Raw genomic sequence first — 18,940 nt, 5'->3', positions numbered from 1 at the left:
CCATGGGCCAGACTTTAGGGGAGGAGATTGACTGCAAAAGGATAGGGGGACATCTGGGCTAGTGAAAACGGTCTATGTCGATTGTGGTGGTGGTTATGTGACTGTATGCATTTGTCAAAATTCATTGAACTTTTAACCTCTATGGAAAACAGTATGGAGATTTCTCAAAGAAATAAAAATAGAACTACTAGTTCATCTAGCAATGCTACTGCTGGGCATCTACCCAAAGAAAAAGAAATTATTTTCTCAAAAAGACATCTGCATTCATATGTTTATGATAGCACTATTCATCATAGCAAAGTCACAGTATCAACCTAAGTGTCCATCAACAGTGGACTGGATTTTAAAAATGTAATACTTACACACACACACACACACACACACACACACACACACGCACACCATGGAATGCTACGCAGCCATAAAAAGGAATAAAACATGTACTTTGCAGCAACATGAATGCAGCCGGAGGCCATTATCCAAAATCAATTAATGCAGAAACAGACAACCACATATTCTCACTTATAAGTGAAAAGTAAACAAAGGGTACATTTGGACATAAAAATGGAAATAATAGACACTGATGACTCCAACAGAGAGGAGAGAGGGATGGGGGCAAGGGTCAAAAAATGACCTATTGGGTACTATGTTTACTATTTGGGTGATGGGTTCTATAGAAGCCCAAACCCCAGCATTATGAAATATACCCATGTAACACACCTGCATTTGTACCCCCTGATTCTATATTATTTTTAAAAAAGAGGGAATACATATACAAGCAAAAATAGACTATAAAGCTGATTACAAAAAAGATTTATAATAAAATTACATAGATCTTCTTGAAATTAAAATATAGTAATTGAAATGAAGAAAAATTCATTGAACTTTGAGGGCATTTATTGCATATAAATTATACATAAAAATTGTTTTAAAAAACTCTAAACTGCCACATAGAATCAAAAATTGAAGTATTTCAGGTTCTGTTTCTTGTCTTTACAATCATGGTATAATCATTGTTTATTTCAAATCCATCATTTAAATGCAATAATATATAGTACTACAGGGGCTGGAGACACATGAGCTGACACCATATGTACTGAGAGCCAACTATATAGCAGGATATTCCCTGAATTAGTTTCCATGTGGAGTAAAATGATTATTGAAGAAAAACAGTACAAATGTGCTACTTTGAAGCTTACATATATGTATTATTTAAAACTCAACAGTAACCTCAGAAATTGTTTAGAACCTAGTTCAATAAAATATTTTGGGGGATGAATACTTTATCACTGATATTATTTAGAATTGCTGGCTCATGGTGGTAATAAAAAATAGACCAACTTGTAGTCAGCTTTATTATTGTTTTCAAATTCTTTCCAGTGTACCCTCTATTCCCTGCCCTTTGCGGGATAGACTTGTTGTCTCATCACCTGTCCTTGATATTCTACTGCTACTCCTCATCAACAATTGTGGGTTACTGGGACTCTAGAATAATATCACAAAGCCAGAGGCCAGTCTGACTTGCAGAATCTTTGAAAACCTCATTATTATTCAAAGAGTATTATTGATTGCCTACCGCAACCGGGGGCCATTCTAGGTGCTAGCAATTTCAGGTGAAACAGTCTCTGATCTCCAGGACTTAAGTTCTGATAATGTATATTGACATTGTGAGTGCAAGCAATAGCATTTTCTCCAACAGTTAAAAGTAGTAGCCTTTTCTAAAAGTTACAGGTTGTCCTCTCTTCCTTCCCCTTTGTTTATCTTTCTCAGTGTCCTCCCAGGTGCACCCCTTTCTCCCAGCACCATAACCAATCACATTTCTTTAAGTTTCAAGTAAGGTCTCAAGTGCAGGGGCATATTATCATCTTAGAAGGGAGAACCAACAAATAGAATCTTTTGCCCAACTTAGATCTATTTGTCCTTCTTATGGACCTGTGACATTCACCTGTCAATCTGCTCTTACAAGCCTCTATCAGATGCAAGGTGCTTCTGAGATTTTTGATACAGGGATGCAGCTTAGAATTGTAAGTGGCCTCCTTGATATTCTGCATCACTAGATAAGGCTTACACAGCAAATACCTATGCTCATCAAAAAAAAAAGTCTAAGATAAAAGTGCAGGCAAGCAGTTCAGAGGGGATAAAAGGCCCATTGTGAAAACAATGGGAAGGCTAGTATAGGCCAAGTTAGGTCTCCCACCAACCTCTCTGCTTTATGAGGGCTACCACGCAGCTCATCCCAGTCCCACTGGAGTCTTTTCTTCTTCTAAGCCTATGTAACAATTTCTCACTTAGAACTGTAAAGGTATTTAGAATACATGTCAGGGCCAGAATTTGCAGAGGTCAAGAAGCTTCTTTATGATTAAGTGAATGACCCCAGCAAGGTCAGTATTAGCTTCACCAAGACTTCTTATCAGACTAGTGGGCCAACCACACTTCCCATTCCTCCCAAAGAAAAGTCAGATAGGAGCTTGGAAGTAGTGCTGGACCTCAATACTAGTGTTCAGAATCTCATGACAATTTTTATATCTTATATGTTCATGATTGCAAAGAGAAGATAATGATTTTTTTTCTGATAATAATGCAGCATATTCCTTTCAGATCAATGTTAGCACATCCCTTGTCAATAAAATTTATATTCCACCTCAACCAATTCCTTTCATAGGCATCAGCTGATTTGAATGGGGTGACGTATTTTACAATGATGAGGAAGAAGCATTTTTTTGTTTTGACTTTACATGAGCACTGGTGACTGATTTTTAACACACACACACACACACACACACACACACACAAAATCTCTGGTGATGAAAATAACCATTAAATATAACTAATGCAATACTATGCCTTTGTATGATGAACTGACTCACTGCTTAGTATAGTTTTATGTGCTTTGCTTAAAACATTTGAGGCCACAGAAAGGTTGGACATGAAATAAAGTCTTCGGGGTTATTTCATATTCTTTTAAGAGTGTTTCTTCAGCTGCCAGGGAAAGATGTGTGCATGAATTCTCTTACCCATGTCAAGGCCAGTTACAGCTCCATAAAATCAATTCAGCTGTGGTAGACTGATAAGTGCATGTTTCAAGATGACACAAAGTGATCAAGCCAGGTGAGAACTAGAAGAGCTTTGGGGCTAAATTAAATGCCATTGCCTGATGGGGAAGAGGAGAGGAAGGAAATGCACAGGCCAATTGTTGCTGGGATGATATGATTTTGTAAGCCCTCTATGATCAGTGTTAATCCTGTGTTGTTTTGTATATTTTCAAAATGTATACATGATAGTTTGCTAGAAATGGTCACCCAGTGACAGAGGACCTGGCCCTTTCTGGTCACTTGTCCCCTTTCACTGTTTTGGGGACTTCTCTAGGAGGTTCTAATCCAAAGTAAACTTTTACTTTGAAAGCTTTAAAAGTCCTTTTACTCTACGGATGTTATGTGGAAAGGCTTGCTTACTCTCGGCTCCATTGCTCTTAAACCTCTTGGTCTTGCTGGCAAAATTTATATGAATCAGAGATTATTTTTAGGTCTGGGGTTTATATTAGAAATTATTCACTGTCATTCAACAAATATGCACAAAGCACCCACTAGATACCAGGGATACATGGGCAAACTTCCTGTTTCTGAAAATGCTGCCAAGTCTCAGTTCCTGAGCACTTGGCGCCTTTTACTTTGGGCCCTAGGTAGAACCACAGATACAGGTAGTACTGATGGACATCTTCTTGTCATGGCTGAAGTTTTCCGGGGAATGGTTCTTTGAGGAGCTACCTTGGCTGAGGCTCTCTTGGTTGAATCTCTAAGTACAAGAGCATAAGACAAGGCTTCCCGTTGAGTAATATAGCCTAGGGGAAAGAAATGAGAGAAACTTCAAAATCAACAATTTTACAAGGCAAATAAGAAAACAAAACTGCAAATATTTACTTATGTGTACAAAATTTATTCTACTCTTGTGGTAAGCATGCCCAGATTATATGATCTTTGAAGATTGGAAATATATTTTTCTTCTTTTGTATTTCTCATTCAATAAGTTAATAAACACTTGGTCGTTGATTAACATGTCAGATTATTTGGAAAGGGACTTGAGCCATGATATCTTCGATATCAAAACTTTCTTCAAACCAGAAAGATATATTTGATCTCTCTCAGTGTTTCTCAACGTGTAGTCTGCAGACCACCAACTGGTGAATCATTGGGCTGAGGCCACATGCTTTTTCAAAATCCTTATTAAAAATGCAGATTTATGACTCTAAAGACCTTCTGAATCAGAAACTCAGAGGGTTAATCTTGGAAATCTGCATTTTAATAAGGTACCTGGTGGATTTTATGTGCACTAAGCATTGAATACTTCTGTTTCTGGATTCATTGGCTTCTATGCAATTTTTGCTCTAAAAACAAAGCTACTAGATGATGCTTCTAGTGACACTTCAGACAATCATGGAGACCAGACTGAATCTCGGCTTCTCTGTTTACTATTAAATACTTGCATGACCCTGGTCAAGCTATTTAACTTGTTCATGTTTTAGTTTTCTCTTCTGTAAACTGTAGGTCATAAAGACACCTGCCACATACAGGTGTTTGAGTGTTAAATACAATACCTGCAAAGTTCTTAGAAGAGCACCTGACACACAGGAAGTCCTCAATAAAAGGTAACTATTGTTATTGTTTTTATTAAATCAATTGCAAAAACCATGCCTTCCTTTTGTGTAAATATAAAAACAACAGCATAAAGTAGATGTGCTAAAGCCAAGTGAGTAGATTTTTGTTTAAAAAGCACTCTAGTGGAGTTAGGAGAACGGTATGATGAAGGGCAGCCAGCAACTGAAAGCATTTCCTGCAAGAAAAGGGACTTTACAACAATTAGCCTTTCGGTAAGTTGATGCTTATAATTTGTGAAGGTCTTTCACAACCATTATTTCATTTGTGCTTTGTAAAATCTAAAGAGGTTGAAAGAAGAGGAGAGACAGCAGAGGATGGGGCTGAAAATGTATAATCTTTGGAGGTGACAGCTCTGGCTTGAAGTCCTAACAGACATTTATTACCTGTGTGTGATCTTAATCAAGTTACATAACCTGCCTGAGCTTCCATTTTCTACAGCCATAAAGTGGAGAGAAAATGAGATATTGTATGTAAAGCTCTTAGCACAATGTCTGGAACGTGGTCAGTGAGCAATAAATGTAACTATTATTGTTGTGAATAAACCAAGCCTCTGAGTTTGCACACAGCAAGGAGCTGAGCTGTGCTTTGAGCCTCGCCTGGTTTTCTAAGCCCAGACCCATTGATTTACTTGATTAAGTTCTCACAAATCTCAGAGAGTTAACATTTTATCACAATCCATACTCGAATTTCTTTAAACCCTATTAATTTACCCATAAAACCTTGCTTTCCATTGTCAAGAATAAGCACTTTGAAACTTGGCTAACCAGCTATGTTGATAAAATAGCACGCCAGTAGATGCCATTGTGCTTGAATTATTTATCTGGAAACGACTTCTGGCTACAGCACGAGTTGATTCCTTAGGTGCTTAGTTTGGATCACGTAGTTAAACTTACCAAGCAGCTGTTGGTGCTGAAGGCTGTGAATGTAGCGGGTCTGCAGGGCCTCCCACTGGGGCCTGGAGTTGTAAATCCTCATAATGCTGTAAAAGTAGCGCTGTTGCCCTTGGTTGAGGGCCTGTTGGAACAGAACAGGTGATTTTGATGAGTGTGTGGAGTTCCACAGCATTCAAATTGTGATACTCAAAGCAAACTTTTATGGAAATAAGAGGCTTTTCTTGCTAACCATATGTTTTTTTTTTTTAATGTGCAACAATTGGAAAATAACAACTGGGGAGTTTCCTCTCTTCATTTGCTTAAACAGTCTTCTGCTAATCTGTATGATGATGAAAATATGTGAGTAAAAAATTCTAGGTAATTGTCTTGAACTGAGGGACATCTAAGGATTTCCAGGATCTTATAATTTCTTTGATCCTTATTGAGGAAAGTAGGTTGTAATAAGCTACACAGAGCTGAAGTATGCCAGGCCTCTGGACTGGTAGAAAATTTTCCACTGTAAGTTCTCAGTAAGCAAGGGAGATAGATGGATGAGTAATGTGGTAAGGGTTCATTATATCATTAGTAAAAAGGTGCCATGAAAACAAACAATGTAAACAAGCAGTCAGGGAAGGTTTTCTAAATGAGATGATCATCTTATCTGAGTCTTAGATGAGGAGTTTCCTTAAGGGACTAGAATACTGGTTCTCAAACGGCATACACAACATCTGGAAACCTGCTAGAAATTCTAACATTTTTTCTTTTTAGTTCAAAGGGAAGAGAGTCTGATTGTGAAAAGACTGTTAGGGGAAGATGATGGAAACCTTTTAACTATGTTGAGTTTAAGGATTAAATATTCTATGAGGAGCCACCAAAGGTCTTTATTTAAGGCAGTGGCTCTCAACAGGGATGATTTTGACCCCAGGGGACATTTGGCAATGCCTGCAAAATTTTTTTATTGTCCTAATTGGTGGGAGGAGGAGGGGGTGCTCCTGGCATTCAGTGAGTAGAGGCCTGGGATGTGCTTAGCATCCTGTAATGCACAGGACAGCTTCCCACGCCTTTCCAGCAAATGATCCAACCTGAAACACCATACTCTTAACTGACCAGATTTGCATTTAAAAAAAAATGGCCATGCAGTGGAGAATGGGCTTGAAGAAAGAGACCATTGGTAGAGAGACCATTTAGAAGGCTACTTTCTTAAAGGTAGAAAGAAACAAGAAGTGTCAGGATTTCAATTACTATTGCATACCTAATATATCTTAAGTGTTCATTATATACGGTGCTCAACATTTTGCATTTGCATGTATTTTGTATGCATAATCTCTTAAGTTTCAACAGTCCTATGAGATGAGCAATTTATTGTGTTCACTTTACAGATAGGGAAACAATAGTGGCATCAACATTTTAGAAAAATTAAGATAAAGTAAGTTCACCCTAGGCCAAAAAATTCAAAACGATAACAGAATTTTCAAAATGGGTTGATAACTATGCAATAAAAACTAAACTTAAGATAATTATATGTAAAGGTAGAGTAAGGTGACTTTTACCTGTTAGACATTTTGTGTGGGCCTGAAATCTGTGAGTTAGTGTTTTGTTTTGTTTTTGGTTTTTTTGGCCTTAAACTTAGTATCGAAAATATATCTAGAGTGAAAGTAGCAAAGCCAAGTACTTCATAATTTGAGACATTATTTCAGCTTTAGTTTCTGAAGTGGATGTTTTAAAGGATAACATATTTGAAGAGAATGAATTCCACTCCTGAATAACTAATTTTGCCTTTTAAAATGATTGAGAACAAGATAATATGAAAATTGTAAGCCAATTTCAAGAGCAGGACTCCAAAGTACAATGGGAGTTTCCATAGAAGATAAAAATCTTAAAAGTGATGATTTTATTTTACAAAGCAGAAAATGCCTACCTCTTTTCCTTAGTAAAACCCTAAACTTCCTAAATGAGAAGTAACAGGTAACATTACTAATATTTTTACCTTGTTGTTGATCCTTCCTTGAGGGTTTGGGAGAGAACTGAAAATTTTTTTTTTATTTTTAATTTATTTATTTATTTATTTTTTGAGACGGAGTCTTGCTCAGTCACCCAGCCTGGAGTGCAGTGGCGCGATCTCGGCTCACTGCAACCTCTGCCTCCCGAGTTCACGCCATTCTCCTGCCTCAGCCTCCTGAGTAGCTAGGACTACAGACACCCGCCACGACGCCCGGCTAATTTTTTTTTTTTTTTTTTTTTTTGTATTTTTAGTAGAGACGGGGTTTCACCATGTTAGCCAGGATGGTCTCGATCTCCTGACCTCGTGATCCACCCGCCTCGGCCTCCCAAAGTGCTGGGATTACAGGAGTGAGCCACCGCGCCCGGCCGAGAACTGAAATTTTTACAGCGTATTTATGAGAATGGCTTTAACTAACTTTGACCAAAAGGAACTAACAGCTCTCCAACAGGGAGCCATAGTGTGGCCAATTAGTGAGTTTCCCATCACTGACAGTGGGTCAGCCACGAAGAGGTGACCGTCTACCAGAGCTCCTGAAATGGGACGAGTGTAGGAGGTTACCCAAGTGCTCATTCGTTCACTCATGAATGGCCTTCAACATGCAGCAAGGGCTTATTATGCGGCCAATATTCTTCTTAATGCTAGGTAAACAAAGACAGCAGAAAAAGTCCTCAAACCTTGAAGGAGAGACAGACAGGTCACTCTATCTGTGAAAAAAAAAAAAAAAAAAAAGCCATACCTTTAGTAAGGAAGTGTCATAGATGGAGGGAGGAACTCGAATAAAAGGAAGTTGTGGAACATTCCAAAGCTTTTGTTGTCTTTTCCAGTTTTGTCCCATCGTTTATCCTATACCTCCAAGAAACAACAAAGCATAGCATAAAATTTCTTTTAGCTCAACCAATTTTGGGGATGTACTTAAGTAAATAAGTAAGCAAGTAAATGAATTTTTAAAAATGTAATTTGTTCTAAGGGATAAGAACATTTGCTCACATTTCCAAGTAATTGGACATCACCAGACTACTTAATTCCACACATTTTCCTATTCTCACCCTTTATATATAAAAATAATTATTAATTATTTGTGAAGTTAAGGAATAATTCAGAGCCCTTGTCTTTCTAACTGTTTGGAACAGGTGTGTTGTAGAGCATACTATTTTTATAGTAGTAATTTTTTGATAATTTTAAATAATATTGATTTTCATATCTGATTCTAAAAGTAATATATATTGTTTTGGAAGATTTGGAAAAATTTAAAAATTGAAGAAGAAAATAAGATTACTCATACAAGTTGAGCATCCCAAATCTAAAAGCCCAAAATCTGAAAAGCTCCAAATCCAAAACTTTTTTAGTGCCCACAAGATGCTTAAAGGATATGTTCATTGGAGCATATTGGATTTTGGATTTTTGAATTTGGGAGGCTCAACTGGCAAAGATAATGTAAATTTTCCAGAATCAAAAAAAAAAAATCTGGAATTCAAAACACTTCTGGTCCCAAGCATTTTGGATAAGGCATACTCAACTTGCATCTAACTATCCATAATTATTGTTAGCATTTGGTTGATTTCCTTTTATTTGTTTATTTATTTATATGTTTTTTTGAGACAGAGTCTCACTCTATCATCCAGGCTGGAGCACAGTGGTGCGACTATAGCTCACCGCAGTCTTGAACTCCTGGGCTCAAGCCATCCTCCCACCTCAGCCTCCTGAGTAGCTGGGACTACAGGTACACACCCCACACCCAATTATTTTTTAAATTGTTAGTAGAGATAAGATCTCCCTATGTTCCCTGGGCTGGTCTCAAACTCCTGGGCTCAAGTTATCCTGCACCTCAGGCTCCCAAAGTGCTGGGATTACAGGTATGAGGCACCATGCTGAGCTTCACTTTCCTTTTATTTATTTATTTTTTTTTTCTGTGTACATTGTGTGTAATTTTAGAAAAGGGAGATCATAATTTATACATTTTGTGCACTTTCTCAGATCATTAAATATTCCTTAAAAATATGATTTTTAGTGGCAGTGTAGTATGCCTTTACGTCATTCTCCACTTCTTGCAATTTAGATGTGCAATTTTATAGCATTGTACTATAAAACTATTAAACTTGTCATGTTTCCACTTGCCTGAGAAAGATACAGAATAATAGAGTCACATTTGCTATGATTAAGTCTCCTTTCCTGGTGATTTAGGGTTTAGAGTCTGAAGTGTGTATAATAATATGAATTTAACAATCCAGCAAGAATAGACATATTGGAATAGGTTGCCAAATCACAAAGTGCAAACCCAGAGTATTTTCCCCTCTGCTTACTCCTTTGTCTTTGTTAGCAGTGTGAATTACTGAATGATAGAAAGTAAGACCACAGCAAATCAAACATAGTAACAATCTGCTAAACGTAGATTATTATTAATACCTGCACGTATATTAACTGAAGAAAATAAACTGTAATAGAGGCTGTATGGCCTTTAGAACTAGAAAGACTTGAGTTTCTTTCCTTCTGTAAGCCTCAGCCCTCTCATCCTTAAGACAGCAGTTACAATGCCTACCTCACTGGGTGTTTGATTCACTGAAATCGTGAATATAGAATGCTCTCACTTTATGCCAGTTTCTTCTCTCTCTACCCGACCTTCACGCATGTTCATGCACACAAACACATGCACACTCATAGGTTCATAAACATACACATGCTTAAGGAGTATTGTAATACATGTGGAGACTGATTTGAGTTCACACATCGAAGGTTCCATTCTTCCAGAAGAGAAATTTATTAGGAAAACATTAGTCAACATCTCTGTGTGTACTGTTTCTGCTATATAAATGTCTAAATTAAACTGTAAATATTTTAGTCAGTACTGCTTTCCTTTAATGTGCACTCCAGAAACCATACCAACCAAGATATACTCCTGTAATATTCTCTGTGATTGACACCTACGCTCTATCCTGTACTCAAATCATTTCAATATCCCTCCTCCCATTTTCCAGATCTGTAGAACAGAGAATAAATATGCTTCAAGCTGGAAAGATTTCTTCTCTCCTCAAATAGCATAAAGAAATGACTGATGCTCTTTCTTATGGCAACAATTCATGTGTGCTTTTCTGGGGCTACTGCTGAATAAATTTATCTTACCTATTCAAGTGGCCTATACCTGATAAAATTTGATTAAAATACTCATGGAATTCAGGGAGAGAAACATCTACAAAATAATATATCTGAAACAAAAAGACAGATTTGCCTAAAAAGAACTTACCCTATACTGTAGTTCCCCCACTTTTAAAAGCTGCCATTCCTATTCAGTGTAGTTTTCTTACGCGGACTCTGTTTATATGCTGGTGGTGGTGGTGGAAGTCTGTTGATAAGCTGATATCCAAGCAACATCATGTGATGAAACAAAGAGCTGGGGAAATCTGGCTGCATGCCTTTCTTCACTTCTGGGTAACATTCAGCTACACAGTTTGATATTTTTTCTTCCACATTTTGTGTCTAATCAAGTGTCATCTTCTAAATCTACCATATCTGTGTTACATGCAGATATCGGGGGTAACATGCATAGAGGCAGAGATTCTAAATATTAAAGGTCAACAAATCCATCAGGGCAATGGGCCATGACATAAATATTTCCAAAATTTGGAGTCAGTAGTCCCCTTCCTCATTGCTCAGGATGATGAAGGAAGAGTTCCTGAATATAGAGGTATGGGCATGAATTTGCCTGTGGTAACCTATGAAATTATTCCATAGTTTAAGCTAAGTTCCCTTTCATTTTGTGGGGGAATAAGATATTCTCCATATTTTATCTTAATTAGAGGCTACATATGATGATAATTAACCTGTGGCGTAAGACTAGAGCCCACACTGACCTCATCCTTTCTTCTGTGATAGCATTATTCTACTGGCTTCCTTTCTTTCTCAAGTGTCCTCCTTCTGAATGCCAGCTTATCTGCAAAGATGAAGAGTTCCTAAAGAAAAGGGAAGAAGAAATATCAAAAGAAAATACATTCAAAATTCTTAGGAGACTAAGGGGAAGAAAAAAGCAGGGAGATGAGAGTGATGAATCATATGCCTTAAAGAAGAAAGGGCTCAACAGATGCAAAAGTCTTGCATTTTTTCCCCAGTAATTTGAATGCAGACCTCCTGGGAAATAAGCACAGCACAAACAAGTGTCTTTAAATGCCAGTAAATAACATAAAATCTTTCACTGGATCTGAGAGGTTGATGATTCTTTACCAAGAGATAAAGAACAGTGGTGTGCAGAGTTGACATTGTCAATCGAGTCTTCCTCAAACGTTTTTCCAGGATATGATGAAATTCATTCTGGGTGCACTGCATCTGCTGATGTTGCACACACATGCTGAAATTCCTACCAGCTTGCCTTGGACGCTACTCAATCAGGAGAACAGTAACAGATCTGTGTTTGACAGAGGGCATTTAATGTAAGGAATCTGTTATGAAAATATAGAAATGGGTTAGAGGAGTAAAACAAGAAGGGTTAGGTTATCCAAGGACTGGCAATTGCACTAAACTGTGATTGCACATAGAGCTGGAGGACAATAGGGAAAATGATTTTACCCACAGCCCATGGACACTGTGCCATAGAGGCTGCTTCCTTTGGAGAACTGCTGCCTGAGCAGCGCCTCAGGAACCTGTGCTCACCAGGCACCCTTGCTTCTATGTTCTTGCCCAAACTGCTAATCTTGCTGTTGCTGTCACCACTGTTGCTGTCCATGTGGCTGCTGCTGCTGGCACTGCCACAGGTGCAAGCAGAAAGTATTTTTAAAAAATGGCTTCTTCCCTCCAGCCTTCATTCATGTCCTGCCCTCCATTGGATGCCAGCTAGCAAGGGATTTTGGGAAATGTATTTTGCAGTCTTCCTACTACTCTGATAAACAGAAGGGTATAGAAGAATCAACATGAGGCCGACAGATGGTGGACACTCTCTAACACAAACACAAATCTAAGAGGTACCTTTGGGACCTATGAAGTCAGGCAGGAGGATGAAGGACTTAGACATACAGTCAATGTTTACCTAACATCACTGAAAGTTGTCAATTTATAAGAAAAGAGGAAATAAGATAAAACTAGCTATGTAGATGGTATCAAAGAATGAGATCTAAATTTGTAGACATATTTTAAAATATAAGAATGAGGGAGTAATGCATATCCTAAGTTTGGGACAAAAAATGTTTTCCCAAAGACTAGTTTAACATTTCAAAAAGGATTTAAACTGATTACAAAAAAAATGGGAAAGAAACACCCATAATCTAATTACTATAGGGAATACAATGTCAACTATTAGTAGAAAAGTTGTACTATTTCACAGTTAAAATATTGGTACAGCAATGAGACTCACTGCTTAAGACATTGGCTGTTTAGAAGGTGGGTGATAAAGTGTTTTCATGGAATATCAGGGTAAATGTGACCTCATGAGTGATACCAAGTGAGGAAGAGGGACTCCTGATTGGAATCCAAGATGAAGTTAAACTCTAATTCAAAGAAACCCACCTGCTAGAGGGAGAGTGCCACTGTACATCATGGAGGTACACACTTTCCCGAAAAACTATGAACCCGGAAGGAAATGCTCTGCTCACATCCTTTTGCCAGGATCCTCTTAGCTGCAGAGATGTCTGTGAGGTTGTCTCTGCCAGGCACAGACATGCTGCTTGACTATCCAAGCCCTCAGAGGACCTCCATGCTCCTTAAGGAAGAGAAGGCAGTGTCCCTCTCCCCACTCTACTGCTGTTTATCCCCTGGACTCTACTTAGTCTTCTAGAGTCTTGGTTGAATTTCATTTCCCATTGAGCTATGTAGTCCCTTGAGCTCAAATTTTTTGGTGGGGGAAGAGGAGTTAGTTATTCCTAATTATCTTGTTTTTTCTTTGACCTCTTCATAGAAAACCCCTACTTTTCTGAGATTCCAAAACAAAAGCTGTCATATACACCAAACCTATAGGAGCCACTGGTCACAAAAATAGGGATATTTAGAGTCAGTCTTAGTTTGGATTATAAGAACCACTTTTAGTGAGTGAAAACTACTTGGGACACTTAGAAGCAGTGATTATCGGCAAAAGAAAAACTGGATGTGGTCAGATACGTGCTAAGACTTTGGAAAAACAGATTTCAAACAATTCGGGAAAAAAGTCTAAAGTGGACTTGAGAAGGGAATATCCAGAGATTTAGTTTCAACCCTATAATCTCAAATAAAATCTATAGAAGAAAGAGATAAGATATCAAAAGATTTGCATTTCTCTGATGGCCAGTGATGATGAGCATTTTTTCATGTGTTTTTTGGCTGCATAAATGTCTTCTTTTGAGAAGTGTCTGTTCATGTCCTTCGCCCACTTTTTGATGGGGTTGTTTGTTTTTTTCTTGTAAATTTGTTTGAGTTCATCGTAGATTCTGGATATTAGCCCTTTGTCAGATGAGTAGGTTGCGAAAATTTTCTCCCATTTTGTAGGTTGCCTGTTCACTCTGATGGTAGTTTCTTTTGCTGTGCAGAAGCTCTTTAGTTTAATTAGATCCCATTTGTCAATTTTGTCTTTTGTTGCCATTGCTTTATATTCTCACTCATAGGTGGGAATTGAACAATGAGATCACATGGACACAGGAAGGGGAATATCACACTCTGGGGAATGTGGTGGGGTGGGGGGAGGGGGGAGGGATAGCATTGGGAGATATACCTAATGCTAGATGACGAGTTAGTGGGTGCAGCGCACCAGCATGGCACATGTATACATATGTAACTAACCTGCACAATGTGCACATGTACCCTAAAACTTAAAGTATAATTAAAAAAAAAAAGATATCAAAAGAAACTAGAGTAAGTCCACTGGGAACTCACAGAGAATTCTAGACTCGAGGTCAGGTTATTTTTAAAGATCATAATTTACCAAAAAAGATTTTTAATTAGGGACTAGCAATGGTTCTCTAAAACAGATCCTAATAAGCACAACTGTTAAGTAGGAGAGTCAGTACTCAAATCCATGATTTTCTGAAATCTATGATTTCTTCCCTTGATCTCTGGAATGAAAAGGGAATTCAAGCAGCCCACACTGTGCTATAATAGAACATTATCCCTTTTATTCAGTCATTACCTACAGACGAAATTCATGCATCACAATTCTTTCTGTCCTTGGGTATGTTCCGTTCCCACCTGGAATACTGCTTGGCTGAATCAGGGGAGGTTTCAGTTTCACAAAGACGTATGGTCATAATTCTGGAGCAGGGTATTAGTCTTACTATGCCGAGTCATGGACCTTCTAATAAAACTCCTGGAAAGTCTTCATGCAAATAGGCATCCAGTGAGCCAGTCCAGTCATCCCTTGAATATACCCAGTCATATTCAAATTCATAGTGAATATCGAAGTGTCTTTTTAGGTCCCTGGCTATAAAAACATTCTCCAAGTGTATTCTGATTTTTTTAAAAAGTGAATTGGATAATATATACCATGCAGCACTCCACAATGGATTATCAATGCAACTTTGTAAATATTTAAAAGATCAATACTGATTCCCGGGTAAGATGGCTGAATAGGAACAGCTCCAATCTACAGCTCCCAGCCAGACCAATGCAGAAGAGGGGTGATTTCTGCATTTCCAACTGAGGTACCTGGTTCATCTCATTGGGACTGGTTAGACAGTGGGTGCAGCCCACAAACGGTGAGCAGAAGAAGGGTGGGGCGTCACCTCACCCAGGAAGTGTGAGGGGTCAGGGAACTCCTTCCCCTAGCCAAGGGAAGCCATGAGAAACCGTGCCATGAGGGACTGCGCTATCCAGCTCTGATACTACACTTTTCCCATGGTCTTTGCAACCCTCAGACCAGGAGATTCCCTCAGGTGCTTACACCACTAGGGCCCTGGTTTCAAACACAAAACTGGGGGGCATTTGGGCAGAAACAAAGCTAGCTGCAGGAGTTTCTTTTCATATCCCAGTGGTGCCTGGAACGCCAGCGAGACAGAACCATTTACTCCCCTGGAAAGGGGGCTAAAGCTAGGGAGCCAAGTGGTCTTGCTCAGTGGTTACCACCCCCATGGAGGCCAGCAAGCTAAGATCCATGGCTTGAAATTCTTGCTGCCAGCACAGCAGTCTGAAGTTGACCTCGGAAGCTCGAGCTTGGTGGGGGGAGGGGCATCCACCATTACTGAGGCTTGAGTAGGCGGTTTTCCACTCACAGTGTAAACAAAGCTGCCTGGAAGTTCGGACTGCGCAGAGCAAACTGCAGCGCCACAAAGCTGCTGTAGCCAGACTGCCTCTCTAGATTCCTCCTCTCTGGGCAGGGTATCTCTGAAGGAAAAGCAGCAGCCCCAGTCAGAGGCTTATAGATAAAACTCCCATCTCCCTGGGACAGAGCACCTGGGAGAAGGGGCAGCTGTGAGCACAGCTTCAGCAGACTTAAATGTTCCTGCCTGCTGGCTCTGAAGAGAGCAGTGGATCTCCCAGCACAGTGCTCCAGCTCTGCTAAGGGACGGACTGCATCCTCAAGTGGGTCCCTGACCCCTGTGCCTCCTGACCGGAAGACACTTCCCAGCAGGGGTCAACAGACACCTCATACAGGAGAGCTCTAGCTGGCATCTGGAGGGTGCCCCTCTGGGATGAAGCTTCCAGAGGAAGGAACAGGCAGCAATCTTTGCTGTTCTGCAGGCTTCACTGGTGATACCTAGGTAAACAGGGTCTGGAGTGGATCCCCAGCAAACTCCAGCAGACCTGCAGGAGAGGGCCCTGACTGTTAGAAGGAAAACTAACAATCAGAAAGCAATAGCATCAACATCAACAAAAAGGACGACCACGCAAAAACTCCATCCGTAGGTCACCAACAGCAAAGATCAAAGGTAGATAAATCCATGAAGATGAGGAAAAACTAGCGCAAAAAGGCTGAAAATTCCAAAAACCAGAATACCTCTTCTCCTCCAAAGGATCACAACTCCTCGCCATCAAGGGAACAAAACTGGATGGAGAATGAGTGTGACAAATTGACAAAAGTAGGCTTCAGAAGGGGGGGTAATAACAAACTCCTTCGAACTAAAGGAGCATGTTCTAACCCAGTGCATGGAAGCTAAGAACCTTGAAAAAAGGTTACAGGAATTGCTAACTAGAATAACCAGTTTAGAGAAGAACATAAATGACCTGATGGAGCTGAAAAACACAGCATGAGAACCTTGTGAAGCGTACACAAGTATCAATAGCTGAATAGATCAAGCAGAAGAAAGGATATCAGAGATTGGAGATCAACTTAATGAAGTAAAGGGTGAAGACAAGATTAGAGAAAAAAGAATGAAAAGGAACGAACAAAGCCTCCAAGAAATATGGGACTATGTGAAAAGACCGAACCTATGTTTGATTGGTGTACCTGAAAGTGATGGGGAGAATAGAACCAAGGTGGAAAATGCACTTCAGGGTATTATCCAGGAGAACTTCCCCAACCTAGCAAGACAAGCCAGCATTCAAATTCAGGAAATACAGAGAACATCACAAAGATACTCCTTGAGAGGAGCAACCCCAAGACACATAATCATCAGATTCACCAAGGTTGAAATGAAGGAAAAAATGTTAAGGGCATTCAGAGAGAAAGGTCTGATTACCCACAAAGGGAAGCCCATCAGACAAACAGTGGATCTCTCTGCAGAAATCCTACAAGCCAGAAGAGAGTGGGGGCCAAAATTCAATATTCTTAAATAAAAGAATTTTCAACCCAGAATTTCATATCCAGCCAAACTAAGCTTCGTAAGTGAAGGAGAAATAAAATCCTTTACAGACAAGCAAATGCTGAGGGACTTTTGTCATCACCAGGCCTGCCTTACAAGAGCTCCTGAAGGAAGCACCAAATATGGAAAGGAAAAACCAGTACCAGCCACTGCAAAAACAAACCAAAATGTAAAGGTCATTGACACTATGAAGAAACTGCATCAACTAATGGGAAAAATAACCATCTAGCATCATAATGACAGGATCAAGTTCACACATAGCAATAGTAACCTTAAATGTAAATGGGCTAAGTGACCCAATTAAAAGGCATAGACTGGCAAATTGGATAAAGAGTCAATACCCATCAGTGTGCTGTATTCAGGAGACCCATCTCACATGCAAAGACACTTATTGGCTCAAAATAAAGGGATGGAGGAAGATTTACCAAGCAAATTGAAAGCAAAAAAAAAAAAAAAAAAAAGCAGGGGTTGCAATCCTAGTCTCTGATAAAACAGACTTTAAACCAATAAAGATCAAAAAAGACAAAGAAGGGCACTACATAATGGTAAAGGGATTAATGGAACAAGAAGAACTAACTATCCTAAATATATATGCACCCAATACAGGAGCACCCAGATTGATAAAGCAAGTTCTTAGAGACCTACAAATAGACTTAGACTCCCACACAATAATGGTGGGAGATTTTAACACCCCACTGTCAATATTAGACAGATCAACGAGACAGAAAATTAACACGGATATTCAGGACTTGAACTCAGCTCTGCACCAAGTGGATCTAATAGACATCTACAGAACTCTCCACCCCAAATCAACAGAATCTACATTCTTCTCAGCACCACATAGCACTTATTTTAAAATCAACCACATAATTGGAAGTAAAACACTCCTCAGCAAATGCAAAAGAAGGGAAATCATAAGAAACCATCTCTCAGACCACAGTGCAAACAAATTAGAACTCAGAATTAAGAACAAAACCGCACAACTACATGGAAACTGAACAACCTGCTCCTGAAAGACTACTGGGTTAAGGCAGAAATAAATAAGTTATTTGAAACCAAAATGAGAACAAAGACACAATGTACCAGAATCTCTGGGACACAGCTAAAGTAGTGTTTAGAGGGACATTTATAGCACTAAATGCCCACAGGAGAAAGTGGAAAAGATCTAAAATGGACACCCTAACATCATAATTAAAAGAACTAGAGGAGCAAGAGCAAACAAATTCAAAAGCTAGCAGAAGACAAAAGATAATTAAGATCAGAGCAGAACTGAAGGAAAGAGAGACACGAAAAACCCTTCAAAAAAATCAATGAATCCAGGAGGTGGTTTTTTGAAAAGATTAACAAAATAGATAGACCACTAGCCAGACTAATAGAGAAGAAAGGAGAGAAGAATCAAATAGACACAATAAAAAATGATAAAGGGGATATGACCACTGATCCCACAGAAATACAAACTACCATCAGATAATACTATAAACACTTCTATGCAAATAAACGAGAAAATCTAGAAGAAATGGATAAATTCCTGGTCACATACACCATCCTAAGACTAAACCAGGAAGGAGTAGAATCCCTGAATCACCAATAACAAGTTCAAAAAAGGTTCAAAAAAAGCCCAGGACCAGGCAGATTCACAGCCGAATTCTACCAGAGGTACAAAGAGGAGCTGGTACGATTCCTTCTGAAACTATTCCAAAGAATAGAAAAATAGGAAACCCTCCCTAACTC

The 18,940-nt window shown here is 39.1% G+C and overlaps 1 protein-coding gene across 2 annotated transcripts; it reads right to left on the bottom strand.

The window, feature by feature from the left end:
* Nucleotides 1–879: 879 nt before the first annotated feature.
* FAM216B (family with sequence similarity 216 member B) lies at nt 880–10,845 on the bottom strand. 2 transcript variants are annotated; one of them, NM_001318932.2, is made up of 4 exons: nt 10,765–10,845; nt 8,263–8,375; nt 5,546–5,666; nt 880–3,838 (listed from the first exon to the last, which is right to left on the bottom strand). In NM_001318932.2, exons 2-4 carry the CDS (start codon nt 8,359–8,361, stop codon nt 3,639–3,641), a joined length of 420 nt encoding a protein of 139 aa, NP_001305861.1. In that variant the 5' UTR covers nt 8,362–8,375; nt 10,765–10,845; the 3' UTR covers nt 880–3,638. The 2 variants fall into 2 exon arrangements, with proteins under 2 accessions (NP_001305861.1, NP_872314.1); NM_182508.3 differs by having other exon boundaries at nt 8,263–8,369.
* Nucleotides 10,846–18,940: the final 8,095 nt, after the last annotated feature.

The sequence above is a fragment of the Homo sapiens genome, chromosome 13, assembly GCF_000001405.40.
Source record: "Homo sapiens chromosome 13, GRCh38.p14 Primary Assembly".
In the NCBI taxonomy this organism is placed as follows: domain Eukaryota; kingdom Metazoa; phylum Chordata; class Mammalia; order Primates; family Hominidae; genus Homo; species Homo sapiens.
Note: the sequence above shows the minus strand (reverse complement) of the source record. Positions and strands in the feature narration are given on the sequence as shown.